A 27,559-nucleotide genomic window follows, 5' to 3' on the forward strand; every position below is an offset into this window, starting at 1 on the left:
CTATTTTTATGTACCCCTGATTGACAGCCTGACAAACTCCCACTTACCTCATTGGGTTGATGCAATGAAATGAGGTCATGCACATGAGGTGCTTTGCTCGGTGACAGCACCTGGTAAGCACTTGTCATATGTCAGCTGCCGCAATGATCATGAGCAACGGCCTCCACCACCCCATAGATTTACCACCTCTGCCTTGTCCTTTACATTTACCCAATTTGGGGTTCATCTCTTTCCTTGAGACTTATCTTCTCCCATTACAACCTATGGGCATCTGGTGACTCTCATATTATTACATTCTTAGGTTCAGAGCCTATAGTTTGCTCCTCCTATCCTTCCTCGTGGGAGGATCCAATATATACCCCGCTTTAGACAAAGTGGGGGAGAACCGGCTTTTGATAAGAACACTTTGGTTGGCAATGCTTTCGCAAATAGAATCGCTCTTTTATTTCCACTCTATACTTTAGTCTGTTCCCCAGACTCTTTATCCCAGGCTTGGGCTCTGTCTCTGTTGGCTGACTAATTTTGCAGCCTAGGAACCCTAGCATTTGTGTAGACAACAGTTATATATGGATTATAGAGTCAACGTATCTCAGTTTCCTTAGGTACTAAAAATACCACCTATTCCTGCAAACCAGCCCTTTTTCTCCAAGCCTAAGAAATGATCACCTCTGACTTCTATTAAAGTAATTGTGGATTTTGCCATTGAAAATAAGGGAAAAAATCACAATTCCTTTGTACCAACTTAATAAATGGTACTTTCCCAAATGCTATTAGGTCTGGCTGTCATCCCTTTCAAAGATAGCTCCCCACTTGAGAACTTTCAAGGTTTTGAAGGGTCTTTGGAATTCTTAAATTTTTAGCCCTTTTCCATGAATTCTCATGTTTGACAATTCCGGGTGAAAACCTTCAGACATTATGGAATGACATAGCTACCAATCTATGAGTAAATAAAACCAGTGTTACCTGGAAGCAAGGCAATTACATCATTAGTAAATAACTAGAGTCCTCCATGCAGAAATATAATATCTTTCTCCCTGAGTTGAGGGTTTTGTTGAAAGATTCAAAGCCAAAAAAAAGTTTAAAATCTATTTTTTAGCAAGGTGCAGTGGCTCACGCCTATAATCCCAGCACTTTGGGCAGCCAAGGCGGGTAGATCACAAGGTCAAGAGATCGAGACCATCCAGGCCAACATGGTGAAACCCCGTCTCTACTAAAAATACAAAACTTAGCTGGGTGTGGTGGCACGTGCCTGTAATCCCAGCTACTCGGGAGGCTGAGGCAGGAGAATCACTTGAACCCGGGAGGCGGAGGTTGCAGTGAGCTGAGATCGGGCCACTGCAGTCCAGCCTGGCGACAGAACGAGACTCTGTCTCAAAAAAATAAAATAAATAAAACAATTATATATAATTATAATTATATTAATATAAAATTTATAATAATAATAATTATAAAATAATTATAGTTCTACCATTCTCGTGTGGAATTGCAGGAGTGGTGGGAGCTCAGGTTGTTACTTTAACCCCTCATTCTCTTACTAGAGCAATATTTCCTTGGGTTATTAATGCATTTATTTTTGAGACAGGGGCTTGCTCTGTCACCCAGCCTGGAGTACAATGGTGTGCTCTCAGCTCACTGCAATCTCTGCCCACCAGATTCAAGTGATTCTCCTTCTTCTGCCTTCCAAGTAGCTGGGACTACAGGCATGTGCTACCAGTCCTGGTTAATTTTTTTATTTTTTGTAGAGATGAGCATTTGCCATGTGGGCCAGGCTGGCCTCAAACTCCTGGGCAGAAGTCATCAACCTGCCCAGCCTCCCTAAGTGCTGGGATTACAGGCATGAACCACCATGCCTGGCCTTCTTGGGTTATTTATATGTCCCTCCGTTTGGCTGAGTGACCAACTTCTACTCAAGTTACTTCCTCTCAACAGCTTCCTCTGGTTTTCATCCTTCTCCCATATCAAATAAATTGCTTCCTCTTCTGTGCCCATCACACCTCAAGCATCTCTCTTACACACTGCGCAACAGATATTTTCCCGCAGGTCTTTCCAAGGGACTGAGCATCTCCATAAGCTAAAGTACCTCACATGTCTTTTATCCTCTTCCCCAGGTCTCACTCCCATGTAGGAATCAGCATCCCCTGAGTGTCCACTTCAGTTCTATTCAACCACCCAAATCCAGCACTGTGGAGCGTTGTTAACTAACACAAACACTGGAGGGAATTCACCAGATTTTTTTTTCCCTCTGCTTTAGTTCAAAACACAATAAGACAAGAATATATAATTTGGTTTCATTATGAGTTCGATTTCTGTAGAACATTCTGGCTCTTGGTTCAATGTTTAATTCATATGAACCCCTTACGACCATGATGTATATTTGATCAGGAGAACAACTACCATCCAAGGACGCAGGACAAAAGGAACAGTTGCTCCATCCAGATTACACTGCCTTGCTTTTTGCTTTCTCTTCTTCTCCTTCGAAGAACATTCTGTCTCTTGTAAGCCAGTGTTCCTACTAATAGCCCCTTTAAAAATCCTCTTGAAGAATCCCACTAGTTATCCTGTTGCCAAGTAGGTACTTCCTTTATAATAGCTGGTTGAATGTTTCTCCCATTCCTTTAAAAATAGTAACCATTCTTGCAGGACCAAGACTATGATTAGTCAAGACAGACAGCTAGGGTATAAAATGTAAGGCAGCGCTCACTTTCAGGTGCTGATCCTGCACTTGTGTGACTCAGAGAATGGCCACCTCCTTAAATTTTGCACGCCAGTCACCTCCTCTGCCCCACCCTCATCTATTCCCCACATTATTGCAAAGACCCAACATGCAGCTGCTCTAAAAAGGAGCTGAGTGTTTGAATCCTTTCTCTACCCTTCCAGTCGATTAATTCATGGTTCCTGACATTCTACTTTTCCAGTCACTCTTCCATCTGGGTCAGAATCTTGGGGCTCACGCACTTTAGACTCCAGAAGAAGCTACTTGGCAAAAGCCAGAAATTCCAGATCTCAAGCCTACTTGCAATGAACATGTTACATTTAAATACCCACTTTATGTTTTAGATAATCATCAATCCCTCCCAAAGATGGATATTGTTAATATGAGGAATATCTCACAGATGACTTTGGTAGATGTGTTTCTTAATTAAAGTATTACTCATTTCTTCTTTTTCAAAGCTTTTAATTTATCATCTAACAGGCGTAGTGATCCATGGAATTACCCCCCTCTTGATTTTTCCCCCTTTTTACACGGATATGCTTATTATCATTCATAGCATAAGCCAAGTGCTATGGTTATTAAGTGCTGTCATTTGTACCCTAATGACTTTGTGCCTTTCACACCATTAAAAAGGAAGTTGGCTACTATGAAGCACTAAATGAAGCCCCAAACAAAGACTGAGGATTATTAACCCTCGTGGCCCAAGTGTGAAGGAACTAACCACTCACGTAGGTGAGGGGAGATAGGAGGTTCTAGATTTGCAACCACATTCATGGAAACTCTTTGGAATGTAGTAACCAAAGTCCCCAACTACTTTCCAGAATTTTGTCCCACCTTGACTTTTGCTCTTTTGTCCCCAAGGCCATTGGCTTTTTTCAGTCTCTCCTGTCACATTCCACTTCCTCTGCTTGGAATGGTCTTCTCTCTCTCCTCTTGCCATAGCTAAATCCCATCCATCCTCTAAATCCTAGCTCAATTATCACTTCTTCAGAGAAGCACTCCCTGATCTTCCCAACCAGGTCAAATCCCCATCCACAACCTCATAACACCATCTTACCAAGTGGTAATGTTACATTTGTTTGAGTCATTCTTGGATAAAGCCCATGGCTCCATGAGACTGTAAAAGCCTCACCAGCTTAGGGGGTCTTGTAGGGGGTTGGCTTGCTTGCCACTGTCTTCCCAGGGCTTAACAGTTAGTACACACTCAGTGTATTTGTTGAATGAAAAAGCTTGGAGCCAAATATATCAGTCAGTACCCTGGCAGGAAGCAAGCAGCACACTTAGCTGGGGTTCTAAAGGTATCAGAGTTAAGGAAACCAACTCAACAGGGATGTTGAGATGCCCAGAAACTAGCCACAGTAGGAAGATATTACCCACCCTGGGCCTGAAGGGGCACGAGGAAGCAAAGGCATTAACAGATTGCACAGAGAAAGCTAGGACCTTGCAGGAGCTGTAGTTGTGAAGAGGCATAGCTACTTCCAGAGACCCATCACAAGGCAGGAATGAAAGGGGAAATATCTTCATTCTCCTTTCTCCTGTTTTCTGATCTAGCAGGATCTCATTGGCCAAAGCCAACTGGAAGCCATGGGACAAGGAGCCCAGTAGATATAGTCCATGGGGGAATGAATAGAGGCCAGAGAATGGAAGAGTGGAGGAACCCCCTATTGATAACCAAGACCCCAAGGTTGCAGCCCAGGACCCCTCCTCAGCCCTGATTGAGGCTTCCAGCCACCCCACCTCTCCTAATTTCATTGCAGACAGTAATGACTATAACTACTGCCGAGAAATGACCGTGACTACTGCTCCTCTGCTTGCATGGGGTGAGCCAATTAAATTTTCCCCATGGGTCACGCGCTGAGTCTTGAACACCAGCCAACTTCATTGAGAGCATGAACTGATGGCATGAGTTCAGCTCCAATGGGTTGCAATCCACTGGGGTTAAATAAACAAATCAGGAACTCTGCATTAATGAGTCTAGCTACACAGAGTGAAATATTTTTGAATAAATTTTTCTGAGAGCATCTATCAGGACGCTGCAGCTCCTGTGCTGCTGTCTGTCTTTAACCTTGAGGGAAACAGCTGGGGCAGTTTTCAAAAAGGATGGGCTTGAGGAACAAGAGTCTTTGTTGGCTGCACGTCTATTCACAGAGAAGCAAAAAATTTGGAGACAGGAGTTCCAGGCTGTCACCAAGGGGGCTTCTCCTTGGTGCACGGTGATCTAGCTCCTGCCCACTCCGCTTTGCTAAGTCAACCCTCTCTAAATCACCATGAACCGGGTTCAAGGGCTTCCTTCCAGTCTTTCTCCTTCCTCCCTCGGATCTGTTCACCTTCTTGTTCCCTTACCTTGCCCTACTCCTGGCTCTCAGATCCCTGGGCCTGTTCCAATCTCTGATCTACATTTTAGAGATGGAGGTGGGAGAAGAAACCATTGTTCTCCAAGGTTTCCATGGCCCTCTTCTTATCGAGGACTGGATCAGTCTGTGACTCACAACAGCCAGGTAGCACCACGGTTCTTCATTTGACTTAGGATGATCCCAGATTGGCCTCCTCAACCTCATTCTTTCTCTTAAGCCCCATACCCAGGAATTTCCTGCCATTTTCCCCTGGCTGCCCAGCCAGGATCTCAAACACAACACTAGACATGAATGCAGCCTCTTCTCCTTGGAGAGGAAACCAGGTCTAATGGAAAAGCCTGGGCTTGGCCCCCTGCCTTCTGACCTTACTCCCAGCTCCTCCACTATCAGCTGTGTGATCTTAGGTGAAACACTTAGCATCTCGGAACCTAAGGTTTGTTGTTCCAAAATGAAGCTCAGCAAAGATGATGGGAATGCTATACAGATGTGAATATTGTTGTCATCATTTTTGTCATTATCATCATTGCATTGTGACAAATCCCTCACTGGGAACCCCATTCTGACTAGTGTGTCTAGAGTATCATAGTCCTCCTGGTCAGCTGTGAGTCATCTCTAATTCTTTCTCTCCTCAGTCTCTATGTCATACCCACATCCTAATTTCCAGAACCTGCCAGTCATGCCACGTAATCACTGTGTCCTGTAGCCAGACCCACCCCTCACATCTGCAGGGCCCTGGGCAAGAGTGCAAATGGAGGATCCCAGCCCGTGGTCAGTCCCCTTCTGTCTCCACCCCAGAGTCCCACCCACACCACCAGGAGGGGTCCTGCCCATGTAGTGGGAAAAAGTCCTCATGTGGTCTTGGGGCCATTTGGGAATAGAATTCTGGAAGGCCAGGAACCCAAAGCATGGTCTAGAAGTGTATGTGTTGGGGGAGACTTTGCTTTGCATGGCTGTCCCTTTGGCTTCAACCAAAGGGAGCCATAGGTAGGGGTGCTGACATAGGTAGGGATGCAAGCAGAGGAAGGCCAGGGTAGGCCCCTCTAAGTGGGGCCCAGGTCTCAGAGTAGAATCTCTCCTCTGGACTTGGGAGTCAAACAGAACCCAGTTGGAGTCCCCCTTTTATTAGGTGGCCTCGAGTATATCATAGGCGGGACCATCCTATAATCCTATAAGGAAAGAAATAGGCCGGGAGCAGTGGCTCATGCCTGTAATCCCAGCACATCAGGAGGCCAAGGCAGGAGGACGGCTTCAATCCAGGAGTTCAAGACCAGCCTGCACAACATAGCAAGACCTTTTCTCTACAAAAGAAGGAAAGAAGGAAAGAAGGAAGGAAGGAAGGAAGGAAGGAAGGAAGGAAGGAAAGAAAGAGAAAAGAAAAAATAGCTAGGCATGGTGGCTCATGCCTGCAGTCTCAGCTACTTGGGAGGCTGAGACAGGAGGATTGCTTAAGCCTGGGAGGTAGAGGCTGCAGTGGGTTGTGATCATGCCACTGCACTCCAGCCGGGACAATAGATAGTGATCCTGCCTCAAAAACAAAACAAGAAAAGAAACAATCTTAGGGTTCTGGGTGAGGAGGACATAGACAGCTTTCAGAAATCGAGTAGAGGGCGCTGGATCCTCAAGTTTTCTCCTAAAGAGGCTTCTAGTGGATCCAGTAACTGTGTCAGATGCTTAACAGACATCTGCCCTCAACCTTCACGGCAGTTCTATTAGGTGGGTGAGAACCTGGGCCGAGCAGAATAATACCACGCAAACGTGCCCACATCCTCATCCCCAGAACCTGTGAATCTGGTACCTCACATGGAAAAACGGACTTTGCCGATGAGATTAAGTTAGGGACTTGGGGATGGGGAGATCCTCCTGGGTTTTTCAAAGAGGGAGGCAGGAGGAGGGTGAGAGTCAGAGAGATTTGAAGCTCTACCCTGCTGGCTTTGAAGACGGTGGGAGGGACCTGCAAGCAAAGAAATGCAAGGGCTTCTTCTAAAGACGGGAAAGTCAAGGAAACAAATTCCTCCCTGGAAACAAATGCAGGAAGGAATGCAGCCCTGCCGGAGCCTTGATGTTAACCCTGTAAAACCCATTTCAAACTTTTGACCTCCAGAACGGTAAGATAATAAATTTGTGCTTCAAGTCACTGTTGGTGGTCATCTGTTACAGTAATAATAGGAAACTGATACAAAACCTTACCTTCACTTCGTAGAAAATAAAGGGGGGAAAAACCCACAGTGTCACCGAGAGGCTGGGGGAACTGCCTGAAGTCACACAGTCAGAGAATGCAGGAGCCTGGATCCCTCCTGAGACTCCCGTGGCTCCACAGTACAGGCTGGGTCCTCACAGGAAAGGCATATGCATTTGGTAAACAGGGGAATATTGGGGAAGCCATGGGAAAGTGATTTTCACTTCTCTGTGATACTTCCCAGCACAGAAATGATTTGAAGCAATCAGAGACGAGCTGTCTCACTAGCAAAGAGGACGTCTTCGCAATACGTGAAGACCTTCAGAACAAAACCGAAAGTCTTACAAAAGGGCCTTCCGTGGTGCAAATAGTGGCTGGTTAGGGACTTCAAGATCTGCCACACTCTCCACTTCCAGACCCCAGGATCTGGCCGCTGCCTTCCCCTCCACCTGCCCTTGTATTTTTCTCCACCACTCTGGCCTCCTCTTAGAGAATCCCACGTGGGATTCAGATCCACCTGGAGCCAAAGCATATGTTCCCCCTCTCCCTGAATCCCTATTGCTCAGCTCTTTCTGTGGCTCACTCCTTCCTGCTCTTCAGGTCTCACCCATCACCTCCTTAAACCCACCTACATTAGTGTCCTGTAAGCTGCTGTTCAAATGACCACAAATGTAGTGGCTTAAATAACATAAAAGTATTATCTTACAGTTCTGAAAGCCCAAAAATCAAGGTGTCAGCAGGGCTGCGTTCCTCGTGGAAGCCCTAAGGGAGAATTTATTTCCTTCCCTTCTTTAGCTTCCAGAGGCCACGTGCGTTTTTCTTGCTTCACGGTCCCCCCAGCAAGGGCATCACTCCAAACTCTGCTTCCCTTGTCCCATCACCTGCTCTCTGAGCCAAACCTTCCTGCCTTCCTCTTGCAAGAATCGTTGTGGTTCCATGGGGCCCCCAGATAATGCAGGATAATCCCCCATCTCAGATTTTTAGCTTAATCACTTCTACAAAGTCCCTTTGCCATGTCAGGTAACAAACATATCCTCAGGTTCTGGAGATTAGGGAATGGATGGGTTGGGAGTGTGAGGTCATTCTGTCTGCTTTCCCCAGGGATCTTGTTTAACTGGGTCACTCTCCCCCAACCCCTCACCATCTATTCTCCATCGTGGAACACTGCTCACGCCCTTTGTAGCACTTTTTTTTTTTTTTTTTTTTTTTTTTTTTTTTAGATGGAGTTTCGCCCTTGTTGCCCAGGCTGGAGTGCAATGACGTAATCTCAGCTCACCGCAACTTCCGCCTCCCCGGTTCAAGCAATTCTGCCTCAGCCTCCCGAGTAGCTGGGATTACAGGCATGCACCACCATGCCCGGCTAATTTTGTATTTTTAGTAGAGACAGGGTTTCTCCATGTTGGTCAGGCTAGCCTTGAACTCCCGACCTCAGGTGATTCGCCCGCCTGGGCCTCCCAAAGTGCTGGGATTACAGGCATGAGCCACCCCGGCTGCCTGTAGCACATTTTTTTTTATGATTATGATAAGCCTATTTAATAAGGGAAACTGTGATTCCCCCAGGACAGAGAGAGAACATCTGTTTCAGCCAGCTCCCGGCCCAGGGCTTTGGTTCTGTTGAATGACTGAACAAATAAATAAATGAATGAATGAATGAGTGAACGAATGAGTAGTATAGATATTATCACTCACATAAGATGAGATGCAGAGAGAGGAAGCCAGTTGTTAGAATGATATTACCAACTCAAAGCAGAACCAGGTTTCAGCCCTGGAATGTTCCCACTGCCTCCTGCCACCATGCACTTGGGATGCTGTCAAATTGGCCTCCCAGACACCAGAAGTGTCAGAGAAAGTCCAGATGTCCTTTGAGCTTAGAATGTTGGCATCTTGAGGTGCTTGAATGACATGACTCAGATTTCCTCCCTCCACTGTCTGGATGGGAAACCAGCTCTGTTGGAGATGGCCTGAGTAAATCCAGAATCCCAGCCCTGGAAAATCCAGCTGCCAAGACCAGATATGGCCAGCCACGCAGCTGGCCGTGGCATCCCAGACTGGGTGTGGGACCATGGTCCTGATTATGAACAGACTCCGCTGGGCCACCCAGGCTGCACTTAGCAGGCCACCAAGAGATAGCTGCCCAGGCCAGGGGCTCTAGGATGTGGGGTAGGCAGGACAAAGACCTCTAGGTGAGGCTCAGCCACATGACATCTCACTGTCTCCACATATCCACTTTTTCATTCATTCATTCATCCCAGAAGCTATTGTGTGACAGATGTCCTTTTGCACTATGGACTCTGAGGTAGACACCATTGTCCTGCCCATATAGAGCTGCAATCCCCAATATGGTAGCTATGAGCTATGGGAGGCCAATGAGGACTTCAAGTGTGGCTCATCTGAATTGAGATTTACTCTCAGTGTAAAATACACCCTAGATTCCAAACAGTCCCCCCCAAAAAAGCGTAAATTATTACTTCATTATATTGAGTATATATTGAAATAACATGTTGGATATATTTGGTTAAAGAAAATATCTCAAAATTAATTTCACCAGTTTCTTTTTACATTTCTTGACGTGGTTAATTTGAAAATTTTTAGCCACATTTGTGGTTCGCTTTATATTTATTTTAGATGGCACTGTTCTATTGATTTGCAATGGAGAGGAGAGGCTGATGTGTAACTTACAAGGCTGGGGTAAGGTTGACATCACTAGCCAACTGAGGTGTGAAGGGGTAAGTGCTTGGGCGAGACTGTGAGGTTGAGGGTGGAGGGCAAATACTTAGAAGAGCTCACATCCAAGTCAACAACAGCAAGACAAATCCAAGGTAGCTCAGGACCAGGGCACTCCAGGAGGGGACCCAGGACGTACAGAGACACAGTGCAGAGAGCCCAGTGAACTTCAGATACATCGTAAGTGGTGGACGTGAGTGTGTGATGAAAGGTGAAGAAAAGCAATAAAGCCAGAAAAGGCAACAGTTACCAGCTCCAGAAACATGCAGTCCAGTGCTGTTCAGCAGAATTATGTGAGCCACATGCAAAGTTTTAAATTTTCTAGTTTCTAGCCATATTTTCAAAACTACAAAAAACTAATTTTAATAATTGTTATTTCAACATGTAATAAATGTCAACAACTCTTACTGAAATAGTTTGGATTCTTTTTTATGGTGATTAAGTCTGTGAAGTCTGGTGTGAATTTTACACTGACAGCACGTGGCAATTTTTACTAGCCAAATTTCAAAGGCGCACTTGCCACATTGACTAGTGGCTATAGGATTAGGCAATGCAGGTCTACTAGACAGTTCTCTTGAATACAGTGGGGAAGGGTTTTAAGCAGTAGAGTACTTTAAAAAAAAAAAAAAAAAAAAAAAAAAAGCACCTCTGGTGGTCCCAACGGAGAAGACAAGTCTCCCACGTGCTACTGAGCTTTCTGGAGCCCATCGAGCCCATCACCACTATCTTCTGGGCACTGTCACCCCCGCCGGGGTGCTTTCACTTATAAACGGTAATTTGGGAGCAATGTCTCTTTTGTGCAGACTTTGCTTTGCCAAGGTGTTATATGAGAGCAGTTTGGGGTGTTGACAACAGAGGAAGGGGAAGCTGCCCTCTCAGATCCCCCATGGTTCTCACCACCTTTCAGATGGGCACCAGAGGCAAGAACCTTGGATGTTTTATCTGTGAAACTGTGGTGCTTAACTCAGCTAATCATTGTGATGCTTAACTCTGCTTATCATCAGGTTTCTCCTCTGTGAAACTGATGCAGACACTTCTAAGAGGCTTGGTGTGTGTGGATAAAAGGAAGCAACTTATGCAAAGGGCCTCATATGGTGGCCTAAGAAAGAATTAATCAAGAACAATATCATTTCTTTCCTTCAACATTGTCATCAGAAAGGCTCCAAGAGCAGCCTAACAAGAGGATAGAAATGCACACAGCGTGAATAGGAGGTCAGGCTACTTAAATGGCCTCTTGGAAATACTGCTAATCCTTTATCCATCCTTTCCGTAAGGGACTTCAAGGAGTCAGTTCATTTCAGAAAGAAATATCCAAAAAGCATGCAGATTAGAGGCAGCCCTGCAGGGAGCTTTTTCTCCTAGCATCACAATAAGCTTTAACTGGTGAGAAAACAGCTTTTCAGTTTCTCTGGGCTCTGTCTTACTGGAGAGGCAGCTTAAAAGTTGTTCCTAGTCTCCAAGGAGTTTTCAGATGCTAATAACTTGCCAGGGTGATAAATAACTGAATGCTGGAGATCTATGACGTGAGACACTACCTACCTCATTCCTCTGCCTTTGAGAGTCAAACAAAGCAGTACGGACTAGGCAGAACTGGGAAAGAGCTTTAGTTTTGAAGTCTGGCAGCCCTGAGTGCCAACCACAATTGTGTCACAATTAACTACGTAATCTTTGGGTAAATTGCTTCTATTTTTGAGCATCAGGGTACATTATCTGTAAAATGGGGATATATTTTGCAAGGTAATAATTATGTATGTGAGATAAGAATATATTATCTATTATTGCATTTAACTCCCCCACCCCCAACAAACTTAGAGGCACTTATGATCTCCCAGTTTCTGTGAGTGGGGAATCTGGGCACAGCTTAGTTGGTCCTTTGATTCTCACAAGGCTGCAATTGGGGTGTTACAGGAAAGGGGTCCTGATCCAGACCCCAAGACAGGGCTCTTGGGTCTCACACAAGAGAGAATTCAGGGCCAGTCCACAGTGCAAAGCAAAAACAAGTTCAAGAAAGTCAAGTGGTGAAACAATAGCTATGCCGTAGACAGAGTAGTGAGTTCCTGAAAGAGGAGGAACACGTTCACCCTGGGTACAATGCTTGTTTAAATGAAGAATAAAAAAAGAGCATGGGCTGGGCGCGGTGGCTCACGCCTGTAATCCCAGCACTTTGGGAGGCCAAGGCAGGCGGATCACAAAGTCAGGAGATCAAGACCATCCTAGCTAACAAGGTGAAACCCCATCTCTGCTAAAAATACAAAAAATTAGCCGGGCGTGGTGGCAGGCGCCTGTAGTCCCAGCTACTCAGGAAGTTGAGGCTGGAGAATGGCATGAACTTGGGAGGCGGAGCTTGCAGTGAGCCAAGATCACGCCACTGCACTCCAGCGTGGGCAACAGAGACTCCATCTCAAACAAACAAACAAACAAACAAAAAGAGCATGGGGACAGGCTCTGCTACGAGGGTTTGTGATAAAGGATTAATTTTTTTAATTACTGTATTTTGCAAGAATCAATTCTTTTTTTTTTAAAGACAGTCTCGCTCTGTTGCCCAGGCGGGAGCACAGTGGCGCGATTTCAGCTCAGTGCAACCTCCACCTCCCGGGTTCAAGCAATTCTCCTGCCTCAGCCTCCCAAGCAGCTGGGATTACAGGCACCCACCACCACACCCAACTAATTTTTGTTTTTTTAGTAGAGATGGGGTTTCCCCATGTTGGCCAGGCTGGTCTTGAACTCCTAACCTCAAGTGATCTTCCCGCCCTGGCCTCCCAAAGTGCTGGGATTACAAGCGTGAGCCACTATGCCTGGCCTGATATTATTATCTTTAAAGCAAAATTAGGAATGCTTCTGTTCTCAAGATATCGAGATATTGTTATCAGCACACTCCCAAGTCTGGGTCTGTTTAGTAAACATTATCAATCTGTTCCCTTAACCGTGAGTATCTAGAGGCTAGGAATACCTAACTCTCTGGGGATGCAGCCCAGCAAGTCCCAGCCTCATTTTCCTAGCCCTCACTCAGGACAGAGTTGCTCTGGTTCAAATGCCTCTGACAAAGGTGTCAGCTGGGGCTGTGGTCTCAAATGGGGAAGGGTCTGCTTCCAAGGTCTCTGTGGTCGTTGGCAGGATTCAGTTCCTCACTGGCATTTGGACCGAGGGTATCTGCTCCTCATTGACTGTCGGCTGGGGTCTGCCTTCAGTTTCTTGCCATGTGGACCTCTCCATAGGGCAGCTCACAACATGGCAGTTTGAGTCATCAGAACAAGGAAGCATCAAGAGTTAGAGAAAGAGGGACTGCAAGATGGAAGTCACGGTCCTTTATTACCTAATTTTGGAAGTGATGTATCATCACTTTTGCTCTATTCTGTTGCTTAGAAGCAAGTCACTAGGTGTAGCCCATGTTCACGGGGAGGGGATGAGTACCAGGCAATGGGGATGACTGACAACCATTTTAGAAGGTGTCTGCTACAATATATGAAGATTCCCGGTGGGCAGTAGCTATAATGAACAAATGTGAAAACCTTTGAAAAGCAGAGCTCACTACAAAAATAAAAGGAATCTACTGAATTATGTATTAGGGTCAAGAAATTTTAACAATCATATGACACTATTAATCAGAGATCAGGGCCGGGCACAGTGGCTCATGCCTGTCATCTCAGCACTTAGGGGAGGCCAACGGGGGAGGATCACTTGAGGCCAACAGTTCATGAGCAGCCTGGGCAACATGGCAAAACCACATCTCTACTAAAAAAAAAAAAAAAAAAAAAAAAGGCAAAAAATTAGCTGAGCACGTGGTGACGCTTGCCAGTAATCCTAGCTACTTGGTAGGCTGACGTGGGAGCATTGCTTGAGACCAGGAGGTCAAACCTGCAGTGATCTGTGATTGTACTGCTTTACTCCAGCCAAGGCAACAGAGCAAGACCCTGTCCCCCCAAAAATGTGTTGATTCCGATCACTGCCAGGTTGTCCAAAGACTGCATTTAAAAGTGCATTTATATTAAATACTGATTTGATAATATGTTACCAGACTGACGCTAAAGTTAAAAGGCATCCATTTCTTCTACATGATGTTTTATCATATATCCATAGCCCTTTCTAGTTATTTTAGTATATGTGTGTTTTTATGGAGCTAGAGATTAAAACATTTTAAATATGCATGTCAGTTCTCATTTAGCAATATTACAACATTTAATTCTGCTATGTAGTCTTTGTAATTAGCTGTATATATCTTTATCTTCTTTAACAACCACATATCATTTCCTTTCAGTAGACACATGTGAGAGTCATTATTTACTTAATCATCCCCTTATCTCTGGGACATATAAGTTGCTTCAATGTTCTGCCATAAAAAGCAATACTGTAATTGAGTATCTTTTGTGTAATAAGTTTTTTTCCCCATAATTTAAATTATGTCTTTAGGATAAAGTTCCAGAAAAGCAATTAGAATACAAACATTTTAATAGCTGTGTCAAGTTGTTATCCAAATGTGTAGAAGTCTTCGGTTTTCATACAAGCAAATACTGCTCTATCAATCAGCCACAGGGTGAGTTCCTCAAAGGCAGGCACTGTATCTTACTTTTTAATTTTGTTTAACCATAGCATCTAGGCTAGACGCAACATTTAATGAATATTTTTGGACTGAATTAACACAAATTTTAAACATTTGAGACTTCAGGAAAAATATTTAGGCTAGATCTATTAAAACTTTTTTTTTTTTCTTAATCAAGAGATGTTGCATTTCCACGCAGATTTCATTGAGATGTGGAGCATGGGCCTGTACCAAGCACCAAGCTCCATGTTGCCCTTTCTGGATTTCATTTAACTCTCATGCCTCCCTCCCCATCCCCACCTCAACAGTTGGAATTCCACATGGCAACAGAATGAAATGCTCAAAAGGCAAATTGGATTCTGCCACAAACTTACCGTTTCAGAGGATCCCAGGAGACACCTGTTGGCCTGGCAAGCCCCCAACATTTGAAAAGAAACAGGAGGCCCTCTTTCCTGGGGAGAATATTATAGTGTTGAGGGGAAACTGCACTTAGATAGAGACAACATTTCCTCCCAATAACCAGAATCGTGAGAATTTTCCTGAGTTCAGTTCAGCCTTGAGTAATGGGTCAATTTAGCCCAACTACGAGTCACAGTTAAATAACATTGAAGTAAGCAGGGCACAAATGACCTTCAGAAAATATCTCTATTGGTCAAAATCTAATCTGACTAATGCACCCTGCCACCCTGCAGCACATAATTCTGAGAACTCCAGAGAACCTTCCCCCACCCTTTTAAGGAATGTTCATCTACTTATTTCAAGAGCTGTCACCCTCACTTTTCCGACCCAGAAGATGTTTGCACAAGATCAGTGTGTGTGAATGGCCCAACCAGAATGTAGTTGCACCCCAGCGTCCAACAGCAACCTCTTAGCCACTAAACTTGAGCCGCAGCGCCCTCTGGTGGTCACTTGACAGTTTGAGTTCTCCAGGCCCCCTTTTTAACTGGGGAACATCTCGCCTAACCAGCACCTCTGTTTCTCACCTTTTCGCGCAGGTGAAGGAGGCCATGCAGCGGATTCACGACCGAGGGAACATTGGCAAGTTAATTCTGGATGTAGAAAAGACCCCAACTCCACTGGTGAGTGAAAAGCAGAGGAGTCTGTTCAGTTCCACGCGAGAGAGCACCACGGGTCAATCAGATGCAGACACGGGTGGGGTAGAAGGAAGTACAGGTAGCCTGTGGGCTAGTGGAGGAGACCAGGGGTAATCAAATGATGTCATACATGAGGGATTCATGACAAACTGAGATGAATGCTGAAAAGGAAAGGCCAGTGCTTCAGTGAGAGCATATCAAAAGCAATCTGAAGGCATAGGCAGGAAAGCATAGCAACAACAGACCTGTCTATTACAGCTGCTAGCTCTTGGGAGAAATTCCTGGAAAATTTCAATAATTTCACATTCATGTTCCTAACAGAATGATGCCAGCTGCTTCCGAGATGCTCCCTGATGGTTCCACAGATTTTTTTTTTCTTTCTTTCAGAGAGAGAGTCTTAAACTCTGTCACCCAGGCTGGAGTGCAGTAGCACTATCTCAACTCACTGCAGCCCCCGCCTCCTGACTGAAGTGATCCTCCCACCTCAGCCTCTTGAGCAGCTGAGACTACAGGAGACCACCACCACACCCAGCTAATTATAATTATTATTGGCCAGGGGAGGTGGCTAACGCCTGTAATCCCAGCACTTGGGGAGGCTGAGGCGGGTGGATCATCTGAGGTCAGGAGTTTGAGACCAGCCTGGCCAAGATGGTGAAACCCCGTCTCTACTAAAAATACAAAAATTAGCCGGGTGTGGTGTCAGGTGCCTGTAATCCCAGCTACTGGGGAGGCTGAGGCAGGAGAATCGCTTGAACCTGGGAGGCAGAGATTGCAGTAAGCCGTGATTGCGTCATTGCACTCCAGCCTGGGGGACTAGAATGAGACTGTCTCAAAAATGATAATAATAATAATATAAAATAATAAAAATAATGTAAAATATAAATAAAAATATAATTTAAAATATTATTTATATTATTTTTAGAGACAGAATCTCACCATGTTGCCTAGGCTGGTCTTGAGCTCCTGAGCTCAAGCAATCTGCCTACCTCGGCCTCCCAGAGTGCTGGGATTATAGGCGTGAGCTACCACACCCAGCTGTGATTTTTTTTTTCTTTCACCAGAATAAAACCCTTATATCCCAGGGATACCACCAGGAGTATAGCATGTCAAACTCACATCCCACCTATTCTCCCTGGGGCCTCTCGAGGAGGAACTATGTAGTGGTGTGGTCAGTGCACAGACCATCCGACTGCATGGATTCAAAACCTTGAGCCCCTGTTTATGACCTGGGCAAGTTACATGACTACTCAGCTTTGATCCCCTATCGGTAAAGTGGAGATTGATAAGTTCCCAGTTAGAATAGTATTCATAAAGCATTGTCTGATATGTACTAAGTTCCAGGTCATCTTTTTTTGAGATGGAGTCTCACTTTATCACCCAGGCTGGAGTGCAATGGCACGATCTAGGCTCACTGCAACCTCCGCCTCCCGGGTTCAAGCGATTCTCCTGCCTCAGCCTCCTGAGTAGCTGGCATTACAGGGGCCCACCACCACACCTGGTTAATTTTTGTATTTTTAGTAGAGATGGGGTTTTACCATGTGGGTCAGGCTGGTCTTGAACTCCTGACCTCATGATACGCCCGCCTCAGCCTCCCAAAGTGTTGGGATTACAGGCGTGAGCCACCATGCCTGGCCCCCAGGTTATCTTTAACAGAAAAAATATTCGGGAAGTGTTTCTTGTTTCTTCATTTACATACACATTGATTCTTGAAGCTGCATCAGTTCTTTAAAAAAAAAAAAAAGAACTAAAATTTCTTGCATATTGTCATGTAAAGTGTTTTTTTGTTTGTTTGTTTGAGATGGGGTCTCGCTCTGTCGCCCAGGCTGGAGTGCAGTGGTGCGATCTTGGCTCACTGCAAGCTCCACCTCCCAGGTTAATGCCACTCTACCGCCTCAGCCTCCCAGGTGGCTGGGACTACAGGCACCTGCCACCATGCCTGGCTAATTTTTTTGTATTTTTAGTACAGACTGGGTTTCACCATGTTAGCCAGGATCTCCTGACCTTGTGATCCGCCCACCTCGGCCTCCCAAAATGCTGGGATTACAGGCATGAGCCACCGCACCCGGCCAGGAGTGTGTATTTTTAAAAGTATTTCCTTGACTTGTAACCATAATGTAATTTGGGTATGACAGTCATTTCATTCAATGAAGGACACCTTCAACATTGTAAAACACCCTCTTGTTAAGTGACTGATACAACATGGATATAACTTATTAAATACTTACTAAGTTCCAGGGCTGTTCAAAGCAGATGAGAGGGCAACGAGAGGGAGGGGAGGGAGTGACTTGGATCCTGAGTCTCCTGTACACCTCTTTGTAGTCTTTAAACATATGACCAAGTCTCTTTCAGTCCCATTTGGAGAAGGCAGACAGGCTCTAGGCCCATCCTGGAAGCTTATGGCTTTCAAGAAAATAGTTGGCACCAATTTCCCACCCTGGGATGCTCCTGTGTCCATCACACATGAGTTGCTCCCAAGTCCTCGGGCTGATAGGAAGGCCTGTCTTACCAAGGGAGGATTCTTACTGGAGCAGATGCTGAAAAATCCACCTTTCAGGGTAAAGGCACAGGATCTGCCTGTGCCACACACAATGTCATTGTCCTTGTTTCTGAACCTCCTGAAGCCTTCTTTTTTGAAATGCAGTCTCACTCTGTCACCCAGGCTTGAGGGCAATGGCACAATCTCGGCTCATTGCAACCTCTGCCTCCTGGGTTCAAGCGATCCTCCCACCTCAGTCTCCTGAGTAGCTGGAATTACAGGCACATGCCACCACACCCAGCTAATTTTTTTTTTATTATTTTTAGTAGAGACAGGGTTTCACCATGTTGGCCAGGCTGGTTTTGAACTCCTGACCCCAAGTGACCCACCTGCCTTGGCCTCCCAAAGAGCTGGGATTATAGACATGAGACACTGTACCGGGCCCCCTTGAAGGCTTTTATCCCTGGGACCTAAAGAAACAAAAAGACAGTAGAGAATGGGTAATCAGAGCAACCACGTGGTGGAAAAGAGGCTACGGCCTATCTAGATGGAAAAGCAGACTTGAAGGAAAGGGAGCATGTCTTGAGGTTAAACAGAAGACATGGAGATGCAGGAGGGATCCAGTGAGGTCATTTTAGGGTTAGCACCTGACAGAAGAGGAAACAACTCAAGCTCCAGGCTCCACAGGATGTGTCGCTGTCCGCTCAGCAGGTGCTGGAGGAGGGGACAGAGGCGCCTGCAGAGGTGCTTTCTCCTACTGGAATGACCACTTTTTTTTTTTTTTTTTTTTTTTTTTTTTTTTTTAAAGACAGTCTCATTCTGTCACCCAGGCTGGAGTGCAGTGGTGTGATCTCAGCTCACTGCAACCTTCGCCTTCCGGGTTCAAGTAATTCTCATGCCACAGCCTCTAGAATAGCTGGGATTAGAGGTGCTCACCACACCACACCTGGCTAATTTTTGTATTTTTAGTAGAGATGGGGTTTCACCATGTTGGCCAGGTTGTTCTTGAAATCCTGACCTCAGGTGATCTGCCCGCCTTGGCCTCCCAATGTGCTGGGATTACAGGCGTGAGCCACCGCGCCCGGCCATGACCAGTCTCAGCCCTCACTCAGCCCCGAATCTGCCCAGCCAGCATGCTGCAGGACACACACTGCTCCTCTAGAATAGTCTGGGCTCTAAGGCGTGTGGGCAGCACCCAGGCAGGGGAAGTCGACTGCTACTGGCAGCTCCAGAAGTAAATTTCCTGGGAAACACTAAGAGTGGAGTCTCTCCTGCTGAAAGCCTCCTCTTAATGAGGCTGGACCAAAGCAAAGTCGAAACTCATCCTATGATGTGTCATGAGGTCAGAGCAGAGGCAGAACTGCTGCCTCCAGACCCCACAGTACCAGCGGGCAGCCCTGCCCCAGTCCTGGCCATCTGACCAGTGCCCCAGAGAATAGAGGTGGCCTTTCCTGAAGGCTACTGACCTCTGCTGCCCTTATGGATTCTGTGTTCACATCACCTCAGGGTCTCCCTTTCCACTGCTGTAGAACAGAACTAACAACAATAATTACTACTATTGCTGCTACTTCAAAGAGCCATAGAGAAGATTAAAAGAACCAATGTCTGCGAGCCAATTGGCATATTGGTGACTATGTATTATAATATACACTACTAAGGAACAGCTTAGCTGGTTAGTTCTTCATTATCCTAAAACACTTGTTGCATATGTACCTAGTGGTAGGGAAGAAAACTGCAGAGACATGGTCCTCTCCCGTGGTGTCTACCGTTTGGCAGGGGCAGATGGACATTGGCCAATGAGCCATTCATATAAATGGGACATTGCAGCTCTTGATCAGTGCTACAAAGAAGAGGTATTTGGGCCATGAAAGCTCATAATAGGGAGATTGTTCCAGTTAGGGAATTCTGCAAAGGCTTCCTTGAGGAAGCAGGATGAGCCCTAAAGGAAACATAGGTATGGACTGGATGAACTGGGCAGAGGGGGTAGAGGAATGACATTCCAGGGAGAAGGCACTGCACATGGTGTGGCCAAGGGGGAGAACCCAGCTTCAGGTGAGACAACATGGGGAGAGCTGAGATTCAGGGGCCAAATTCCTGTTTGTCAGAATAAGCCATGAAGCAGCCAAGGACTCAAGTGTGGGAGATCTGGGGCCCAATCTAGATCAGGGGATAAGAACAGAAAAGAAATCTGAGGCACAGATCATGTAGGGGATGTTAATGGACAGAACTAGTTTGTTCTGAGTCTCTGTCATATGCTCAGCCCTTTGCTAGACTCTTTAGATACATTACTCCATTTTCTTTCACCTGGTTCTTAAAACAAATTTATAAGGTAGGTGGATTTATCGCCACTGTAATGATGGCGGAAATGAAGACCCAGAGGGGTAATCATAACTATGCCAGGTACCAGTGATTAACAAAAGAAAAGGAGTCAGGCAAAATCCCTGTCTTCCCAGAAACTATATTCCAGTTGGGGGAAGAGAGACCAAAAAGCAGATCAATACACCTTTGTTCTGGTTGTTGTGTCTGCTCTTCTTAAGTGACAGCATCAAGACTTCAACCCTGGGGACTCTGTGCAGCTGATGCTCTCAATACCCCTCACACCTCCCCTTGGCATTCGGGTCCCCTGCGCTCCAGGGGCACCTCTTGTGGGCACCTGCCCCTCTCTGCCTGAGAGCTAACTCTTGTCACCAGAGCATGCTTGAGTTTTGCACAGAAACTGCGTGGGGTGCAGGGAGATAACTCACCTCCCCTGAGAGCAGCCCTTAGCCATAACATGGCTTCCTCCTCCCTCAGAAGAGACAGCTCTAAGATGTGTCCCCCAGGGTCTCTCAGAGGTCCCCAGCAGGACTGAGTCCCACTGCCCACACAGGAACCAACTTACTAACATACCCTGCATTGGATTCTTCCCCTTTTTGGTCTCATTTCTTCACTCCCCTGCTACTGCTTCCTGGGATCATCTCCTAAATTCCAGATACTGGTATTCAAATCCTTATCTCAGCACCGTCTCTCAGGGTGCCCAACATATGACAGCTAATCCTGCATTGCCTTCCAGGGAAACAAGCAACCCTAGTTCCTAGCCCCCAAGAAGTCCTCCCATAGGACTCTGTCAGATGCTCAGAGATGACGAGGCTGGGTTGCACAACCCTCAATAACATCCTCTTTTGAATTACAGATGGCCAATGACAGCACAGAGACCAGTGAAGCAGGGGAAGAGGAGGAGGACCACGAGGGAGACAGCGAGAACAAGGAGCGGATGCCCTTTATCCAGTAACTGAGGACCCAGGTGGGAGAATGTGAAGGATGGTTTGGAAGATGAGGACCCGGCTGAGAAAACTCTTCTGTGCCCCAGTGAACAAATGCTGTAGTCCAGTGCGTGTCGTGTTTGTCTGCAGTCAGCTGAGCTAAAAAGCTGTTGATCACTGTTGTTTTTTGAAGTGCCAATCCCATGCCATGCAGTATTATGTCCCTCTCCTATCTGTGTATTACACATTCCCCTCTCCCCTGTATCAAAACCATCCATCTGTGGGTTCTTCTTGACAGTTCTAGAACAGCCTTGCAAATTAATACAAGTCCCAGGCCCAATGCCTAAGAGACCAGACGTGGGCAAAGACAAGTTTGGATGGAAAGGTGTTATCACAGAGCCCTGTCCAGCTCCTAGAATTCCTCAGGCCAGTGACACTTTTTTGCTGCTGGCCACCCATGCCTCTGATGAGAACACTTGCCAATTTGGCCAGCAGAAAGAGAGTAGGCCGGATGTTTTCATGAGCCCACAAATTTAGAAACTCTCCTAGTAGTACTTTTTCTCTCTCCATTTAAGAGACAACTACGGTCAAAAGTTTGAGCCATTCTCTTCTACCCCTTCAGTGTCTGACCCTTTCACTGGCTCTTATCTGTAAACACAGGGAGGCAGGTATGGATTTTTCACAGTAGACAATGGGTCAACAGCATGAGTTTGAGGACCTGCTGTGAAGATTTCTCCTCCAAAATACATCTCATGGGCAGGATTCTTCCTGCTCCATATCTGTTTCAATTTTAAGAAAGCACCACATACAAGACACATTCAGAAGTCATTCCTGAGCATTGCTGGTGTTTGCACACTTGCCACCTGCATTACCAATTCTGTAAATTTCAATTCCTGGTGGAAAGTGACCACTTTGACCATGGATTTCCCAAAGAAGAGTTCCTTTGCAGACCATAGGTGGAAAAGTCAATGAGCATCTCCTTCCTTGCCAAAGCATGTCCCAACATGTAACAAACTCTAGGGATACAAAAGGTTTATATTCAGCATCTGATGTCAGATGTACAGTTCCTCCCCTCCCATATATAAACCCCGGTGTAGAATCTGCAGCGCCCTGCTCTTCGGAAACCAAGGAACAAGCCACCTGCTCACACACCTTGTTCAACTTTTCAGCTCCTAAGGAACCCCACCCCCATGCAATTTGACTGTGCTTGAGAGGTGAATACAGTTACCTTCGAGAAACAGAGGGAGCTCCTCACCCCGTCCTTCCAGTCCTTTTGGCTAAAATGCTTAACTATCACTCACAAACAAATGTGGAGATACCAGGAGCTCATTTGATTCATACCCCAACTTTGTGTTCTGAAAAACATCAGAGGGATTTTACATTGCCCAGTTTCTCCACCAACAAGCCTTAGGGTGGACCCAACCCTTTCCGCAAGTGGTAGGAACGAATGCATCTTAGCAATTACCTGATTTCCAAAGTCCTTTTGTAGCAAATGTCACCTCATTCGTGGTCTTTTTACCTATCCTAAGCTTATGATGATGAGTTATGTATGCCAAATACTTATCTGAAGAGTTTCTCCTCATTGTGAATGTGTATGTAAAATATGAAGACAAGAAAGGGTGCTTTCATCTGAGGAACCAAGGGGTGAGAGTATCCCAAAGGAGGACACCAGCATCATCTTTTCTTCGTACTCCAGGACCCACCAATATTCCAGTTCTGGGTCATTTAGAGAGATAATGGGGCGTTTATTCCCCTATTACCTTTGCTAAGTGCTATATTATTGGCTGTTTCTCCCGTAACCATGCTGAAAAGGGGGTCTTAGGGAGAACTGTCATCCAAGTGGCATTCCTAGTAAGTTGGGTAGAAATGACATTTTCCAGAGCTGAAGGAGTGAAGAGCCCTTGGCCATACTAGGGCTCTCCTTCCCCCGGGGAGTGGGAACTCAGCCACATTCAGAATTCACATCGCCTTTGTTATGTCCAGAGGAGAGGCATAAAAAGGCACTCTCCCCCACCACCCCTACCAAATCTGGGTTTGGTTTGGTTTTATTTAACTAGCAAAGTTAATCCAGTAATCGCAAATTACTCCAGATGGTTAAAGAAAACCCTTTCAGAATACAGAACGAGAAAACTAGAGTTTGACCAATAAGACCAATTTCTGCCATGAAGAACCGGGGGACGCAAGTTAATTGTTTAACGTACTCTCATTTTAAGCACCTTCTTTCCTGTCTCTTGATTGTTTTTTCTGAAGGAAGTGTAAAGAATGTCTCAGTCTGCCTTAAAGGAACTGTGAAGGCTTCTCTGTAATTTAAGCTTGATAGAAGTGAACTGAAACATTGTCTAATGTCTTTGTGGCTTTAGAGCTTTTGTTATATTGTGCCTATAAAGCAAATTATGTTTACATAAAAATATAAATAAAGTATTCAGCATAGCAAAACCTCACCTGGCATCTGCTATTCCACATAATTCATTGCTGGATAAGCAGTCGCACTATTAAATATGCAATGAATGGGGAACTGAAACAAGAAAAGTTAAAAACCTAATGGGAGCATCTCCAGATAAGAAACTAAAGACCACATGGAGAAAATAGGGGTTAAGAGGAGAAAAGCCTTTAAAATCACTTTCAGGTTCCCTCAAACCAGAAAGTAAAACCATTAGGTTAAAAAAATATATATATATTGAAAACATCCTATGGGCCGGGCGCGGTGGCTCACACCTGTAGTCTCAGCACTTTGGGAAGCCGACCCTGTGGATCACTTGAGGTCAGGAGTTTGAGAAAACCTGGCCAACATGGTGAAACCTCATCTCTACTAAAAATACAAAAAGTAGCTGGGTATGGTGGTATATGCCTGTAATCCCAGCTATTCAGGAGGCTGAGGCAGAAGAATCACTTGAACCCGAAAGGCAGAGGTTGCAGTGAGTCGTGATCACACCACTGCACTCCAGCCTGGGTGACAGAACGAGACTCGGTCTCAGAAACAAAACAAAACCAAAAAAAAACTATCATATGTTCATGATGACAGTGATGATACAGATAACGATAATAGAATAACAATAGGCCAAGCGCAGTGGTTCATGCCTGTAATCCCAGCACTTTGGGAGGCCGAGGTGGGTGGATCACGAGGTCAGGAGATTGAGACCATCCTGGCTAACATGGTGAAACCCCGTCTGTATTAAAAATACAAAAAATTAGCTGGGTGTGGTGGCGGGCGCCTGTAGTCCCAGCTATTCGGGAGGCTGAGGCAGGAGAATGGCGTGAACCCGGGAGGCAGAGCTTGCAGTGATCCGAGATCGTGCCACTGCATTCCAGCCTGGGTGACAGAGCGAGATTCTGTCTCTCAAAAAAAAAAAAAAAAAGAAAAAAAAAGAATAAAATAACAATAATAATGCCAAACATTTATAAGGCAACCTACTATATGTTGCTAAAAACTGTCCACATATTAACTCACATGCCTTCCCCACAGCCCTAAGAGGTAAGGTCTATCATTATGTCCACATACAGGTGACAAGATTGAAACACAAGGGAGCCTGCGCCCTTTCCTAAGATCACACGCTACTAAGTGAAAGCTACAACTCACCAATTTCCAGCCATACTTTTGCCGCCAGAATTCATGCTCTTAACCACCTGATCATGCTACCTTGAACCTTAAATAAGGGTAAAATATAACGCATTTCAAATTAGTGATCCCTTGTTCACTCGAAACCCGTTAGGGATTTGGTTTTCTCTGATTTCAAGGATATGCTTGTAAATTTGTCTTGCTTGGTAGCAAATAATATGCGTGTCCAGAAGCATATTTATTTTTCTTACCTTCCATACAAGTGTTTGGTGACATACTGATTTTGAAACTCACATGTCTCATCAACAGCCTTCGTTTTCATGATCTTAAATCCTCAAGGTTATCAAAGAGATACTAAGAAGTAAATATCCACCAGCTAGGGTTTCACAAAAGAGGAATTCATGGCTGGGGAGGGTGTATTGTGCTTTACCATCTTTCTCAGCAGGAAGCCAACGGAACAGGCCTATGTCAGTAAAATATCACATATATAAACCAGAATTGACAAAGCAGAAAGTCATGCTGTTGGTGAATTTCTTAGGAAGTCACACACTACTAAGTTTCCTGGTTTTATTTGTGGGTTTTTGTTTGTTTTGTTTGTCTGTTTGTTTTTGAGACTGGGTCTTGCTCCATTGTCCAAGCTGGAGTGCAGTGGCACAATCGCACCTCACTGCAGCCTCAGCCTCCTGGGTTCAGGCAATCCTCACACCTCAGCCTTCCAAGTAGCTGAGACCACAGGTACATGCCACCACGCCCAGCTAGCTTTTTTATTTTTTGTAAAGACAAGGGTCTCCCTATATTGCCCAGGCTGGTCTCATACTGCTGGGCTCAAGCGATCCTCCCGCCTTGGTTTCCCAAAGTGCTGAGATTACAGGCATGAGCCACTGCATTTGACCTTTGTTGTATACTTTTTTTTTTTTTTTTTTTTGAGACTGAATCTCACTGTCACCCAGGCTGGAATGCAGTGGCGTGATCTCAGCTCACTGCAACCTTCGCCTCCTAGGTGCAAGTGATGCTCCTGACTCAGCCTCCCGAGTAGCTGGGATTACAAGCACGCACCACCATGCCCAGCTAATTTTTATATTTTTAGTAGAGATGGGGTTTCACCATGTTGGCCAGGCTGGTCTCGAACCCCTGACCTCAGTTGATCCACCTGCCTCAGCCTCCCAAAGTGCTGTATGTTCTTATTTAATGCTCACATTCTCTGTATGAATCTCATGGCTACATCCAGCCAGTGTTGGTGCACTGTCACATTTAAAAATGGCTCACCTACAAAAACTAAAACGAAATCCACATGTTCACTTATAACTGGAAATGGGAAAGAGGTCTACTAGGAGTTGGAAATAATTTTTTTTTTTTTATTTTGAGATAAGGTCTCGCTCTGTCACCCAGGGAGAGTATAGTGGCATGATCTCCACTCACTGCAGCCTCCACCTCCCAGGCTCGAGCAATCCTCCCACCTCAGCTTCCCCAGTAGCTAGGATTACAGGTGTGTGCCACCACACCCAGCTAACTTTAATTTTTTGTAGAGACAGGGTCTCACTATATTGTCCAGGCTGCTCTGGAACTCCTGGGCTCAAGCAATCCTCCCACCTTAGCCTCCCAAAGTGCTGAGATTACAGATGTGAGCCACCCTGCCCAGCCCAAATTAATTTTTAAAGGTTTGAAGGAGGTTAGGGTATTAACATTTCAAAAGCCATTTGGGGTATAGGAAACATTTGTGTATGAGCAAGGAGGAAAGAAATTTGAGGAGCAGAGAATAGAACAGTGTAGCTGAAATACAAGATGGTGGGGAGGGAGTAGAGTGGAAGACAGGCACTATGGGAAGTCAGCACCAGGTCTGGGGGCCGCTGAATGCCAAGCTGGGAATCTTAAATGTTAAGGAACAAGGTCATACAATGAATGGTGTGATGTAAACGCTTGGGAGGCGATTTCTGAGGGTAGGTGCTGGGTTTAATGGAAGGAGAAATAAGAAGAGCCCATAGGTGGCCAGGAGCCAGATGGTCAAATGCCTTGACTCCTCTTGCCTTAGTTTGGGTCTTCCAGAATCAGACACTGAAACAAGCATTTGAATGTAAGTCGTGTTGGGGAGGTGACCCCAAGAAGCACAGAGGGCAGGAGGTAGGGGAAGTAGGACAGAAGAGGAAAGAAGCCCATTCAGGCTATGTTGGTGAGCAGGCACCACTACAAGAGTCTGTAGGCATGATCAGAATGGTCCCATTGAAGGGTAAGGAGGCAGTCATGATTACCCATAAATTCCCATGCACTGTTGGTTGGGGACTACTCTTAACAAGGGTGTTAATTCCATTCCCATCTTGCTGCCTGTATGAACCAAGCACATTGCTGTCGCCGGACACTGGTCGCGGAAAGCCACAAGAAGCGCTTGGTCTGTATGGGAACTGCTAGGAGATATGGAAGCAGTGCCCACAGCTCCTATTGTAACTTGTCTCAAGAGCTTACTTTATATTCTGAAGTTAATGGGGGAAGCTTTTGAGGCTTTCCACAAACTGTATTTCAGTCTTAGTAACCACTCTAGCTATATCCCATTACCTCACACCACCCCTTCTTTTTTTACATTTGTTCTGTCAACTGTTCTCTTCACTTGGAGAATAGAGTTTCTGCTCAGAGGAGATAGCCAAATTGCCTTGCCATCTCATCAGGATGTGTTACTTCATTAGGATCTTCCTTTC

General features: G+C 45.5%; 1 protein-coding gene and 1 long non-coding RNA gene across 2 annotated transcripts in view, besides 7 other annotated features; one reads left to right on the plus strand and one right to left on the minus strand.

Annotated features, from left to right (window-relative positions):
• The window catches only part of LOC105371351 (uncharacterized), a 41,987-nt gene extending 26,617 nt beyond the window's left edge, over positions 1 to 15,370 (minus strand). The window contains exon 1 of the long non-coding RNA XR_007065123.1: positions 14,879 to 15,370. This is a non-coding gene — a long non-coding RNA (uncharacterized LOC105371351). The remainder of the gene's footprint in view (positions 1 to 14,878) is intronic.
• The window catches only part of VAT1L (vesicle amine transport 1 like), a 191,544-nt gene extending 167,787 nt beyond the window's left edge, over positions 1 to 23,757 (plus strand). The window contains exons 8-9 of the mRNA NM_020927.3: positions 15,500 to 15,583; positions 21,247 to 23,757. Coding sequence (NP_065978.1) covers positions 15,500 to 15,583; positions 21,247 to 21,345 — 183 coding nt within the window. The 3' untranslated portion in view covers positions 21,346 to 23,757. The remainder of the gene's footprint in view (positions 1 to 15,499; positions 15,584 to 21,246) is intronic.
• Positions 369 to 538: an enhancer, noted in NCBI's record as "experimental_45464 CRE fragment used in MPRA reporter constructs". NCBI's record gives its function as "activates a minimal promoter by MPRAs in K562 erythroleukemia cells, with activity observed for both the introgressed and non-introgressed 16:77990701 variant alleles {active_cell/tissue: K562}" and the evidence as "EXISTENCE:reporter gene assay evidence [ECO:0000049][PMID:34662402]".
• Positions 7,023 to 7,102: an enhancer, noted in NCBI's record as "active region_11152". NCBI's record gives its function as "activates an Ori minimal core promoter by ATAC-STARR-seq in GM12878 lymphoblastoid cells {active_cell/tissue: GM12878}" and the evidence as "EXISTENCE:reporter gene assay evidence [ECO:0000049][PMID:35858748]".
• Positions 7,343 to 7,402: an enhancer, noted in NCBI's record as "active region_11153". NCBI's record gives its function as "activates an Ori minimal core promoter by ATAC-STARR-seq in GM12878 lymphoblastoid cells {active_cell/tissue: GM12878}" and the evidence as "EXISTENCE:reporter gene assay evidence [ECO:0000049][PMID:35858748]".
• Positions 7,503 to 7,572: an enhancer, noted in NCBI's record as "active region_11154". NCBI's record gives its function as "activates an Ori minimal core promoter by ATAC-STARR-seq in GM12878 lymphoblastoid cells {active_cell/tissue: GM12878}" and the evidence as "EXISTENCE:reporter gene assay evidence [ECO:0000049][PMID:35858748]".
• Positions 10,475 to 11,092: an enhancer, noted in NCBI's record as "OCT4-NANOG-H3K27ac hESC enhancer chr16:78000722-78001339 (GRCh37/hg19 assembly coordinates)". NCBI's record gives its function as "activates a minimal SCP1, AML or CMV promoter by ChIP-STARR-seq in naive and primed H9 embryonic stem cells {active_cell/tissue: H9 hESC(naive and primed)}" and the evidence as "EXISTENCE:reporter gene assay evidence [ECO:0000049][PMID:30033119]".
• Positions 11,093 to 11,711: an enhancer, noted in NCBI's record as "OCT4-NANOG-H3K27ac hESC enhancer chr16:78001340-78001958 (GRCh37/hg19 assembly coordinates)". NCBI's record gives its function as "activates a minimal SCP1, AML or CMV promoter by ChIP-STARR-seq in naive and primed H9 embryonic stem cells {active_cell/tissue: H9 hESC(naive and primed)}" and the evidence as "EXISTENCE:reporter gene assay evidence [ECO:0000049][PMID:30033119]".
• Positions 12,949 to 13,566: an enhancer, noted in NCBI's record as "H3K27ac hESC enhancer chr16:78003196-78003813 (GRCh37/hg19 assembly coordinates)". NCBI's record gives its function as "activates a minimal SCP1, AML or CMV promoter by ChIP-STARR-seq in primed H9 embryonic stem cells {active_cell/tissue: H9 hESC(primed)}" and the evidence as "EXISTENCE:reporter gene assay evidence [ECO:0000049][PMID:30033119]".
• Positions 23,758 to 27,559: the final 3,802 nt, after the last annotated feature.

The sequence above is a fragment of the Homo sapiens genome, chromosome 16 (genome assembly GCF_000001405.40).
Source record: "Homo sapiens chromosome 16, GRCh38.p14 Primary Assembly".
Taxonomy (NCBI): domain Eukaryota; kingdom Metazoa; phylum Chordata; class Mammalia; order Primates; family Hominidae; genus Homo; species Homo sapiens.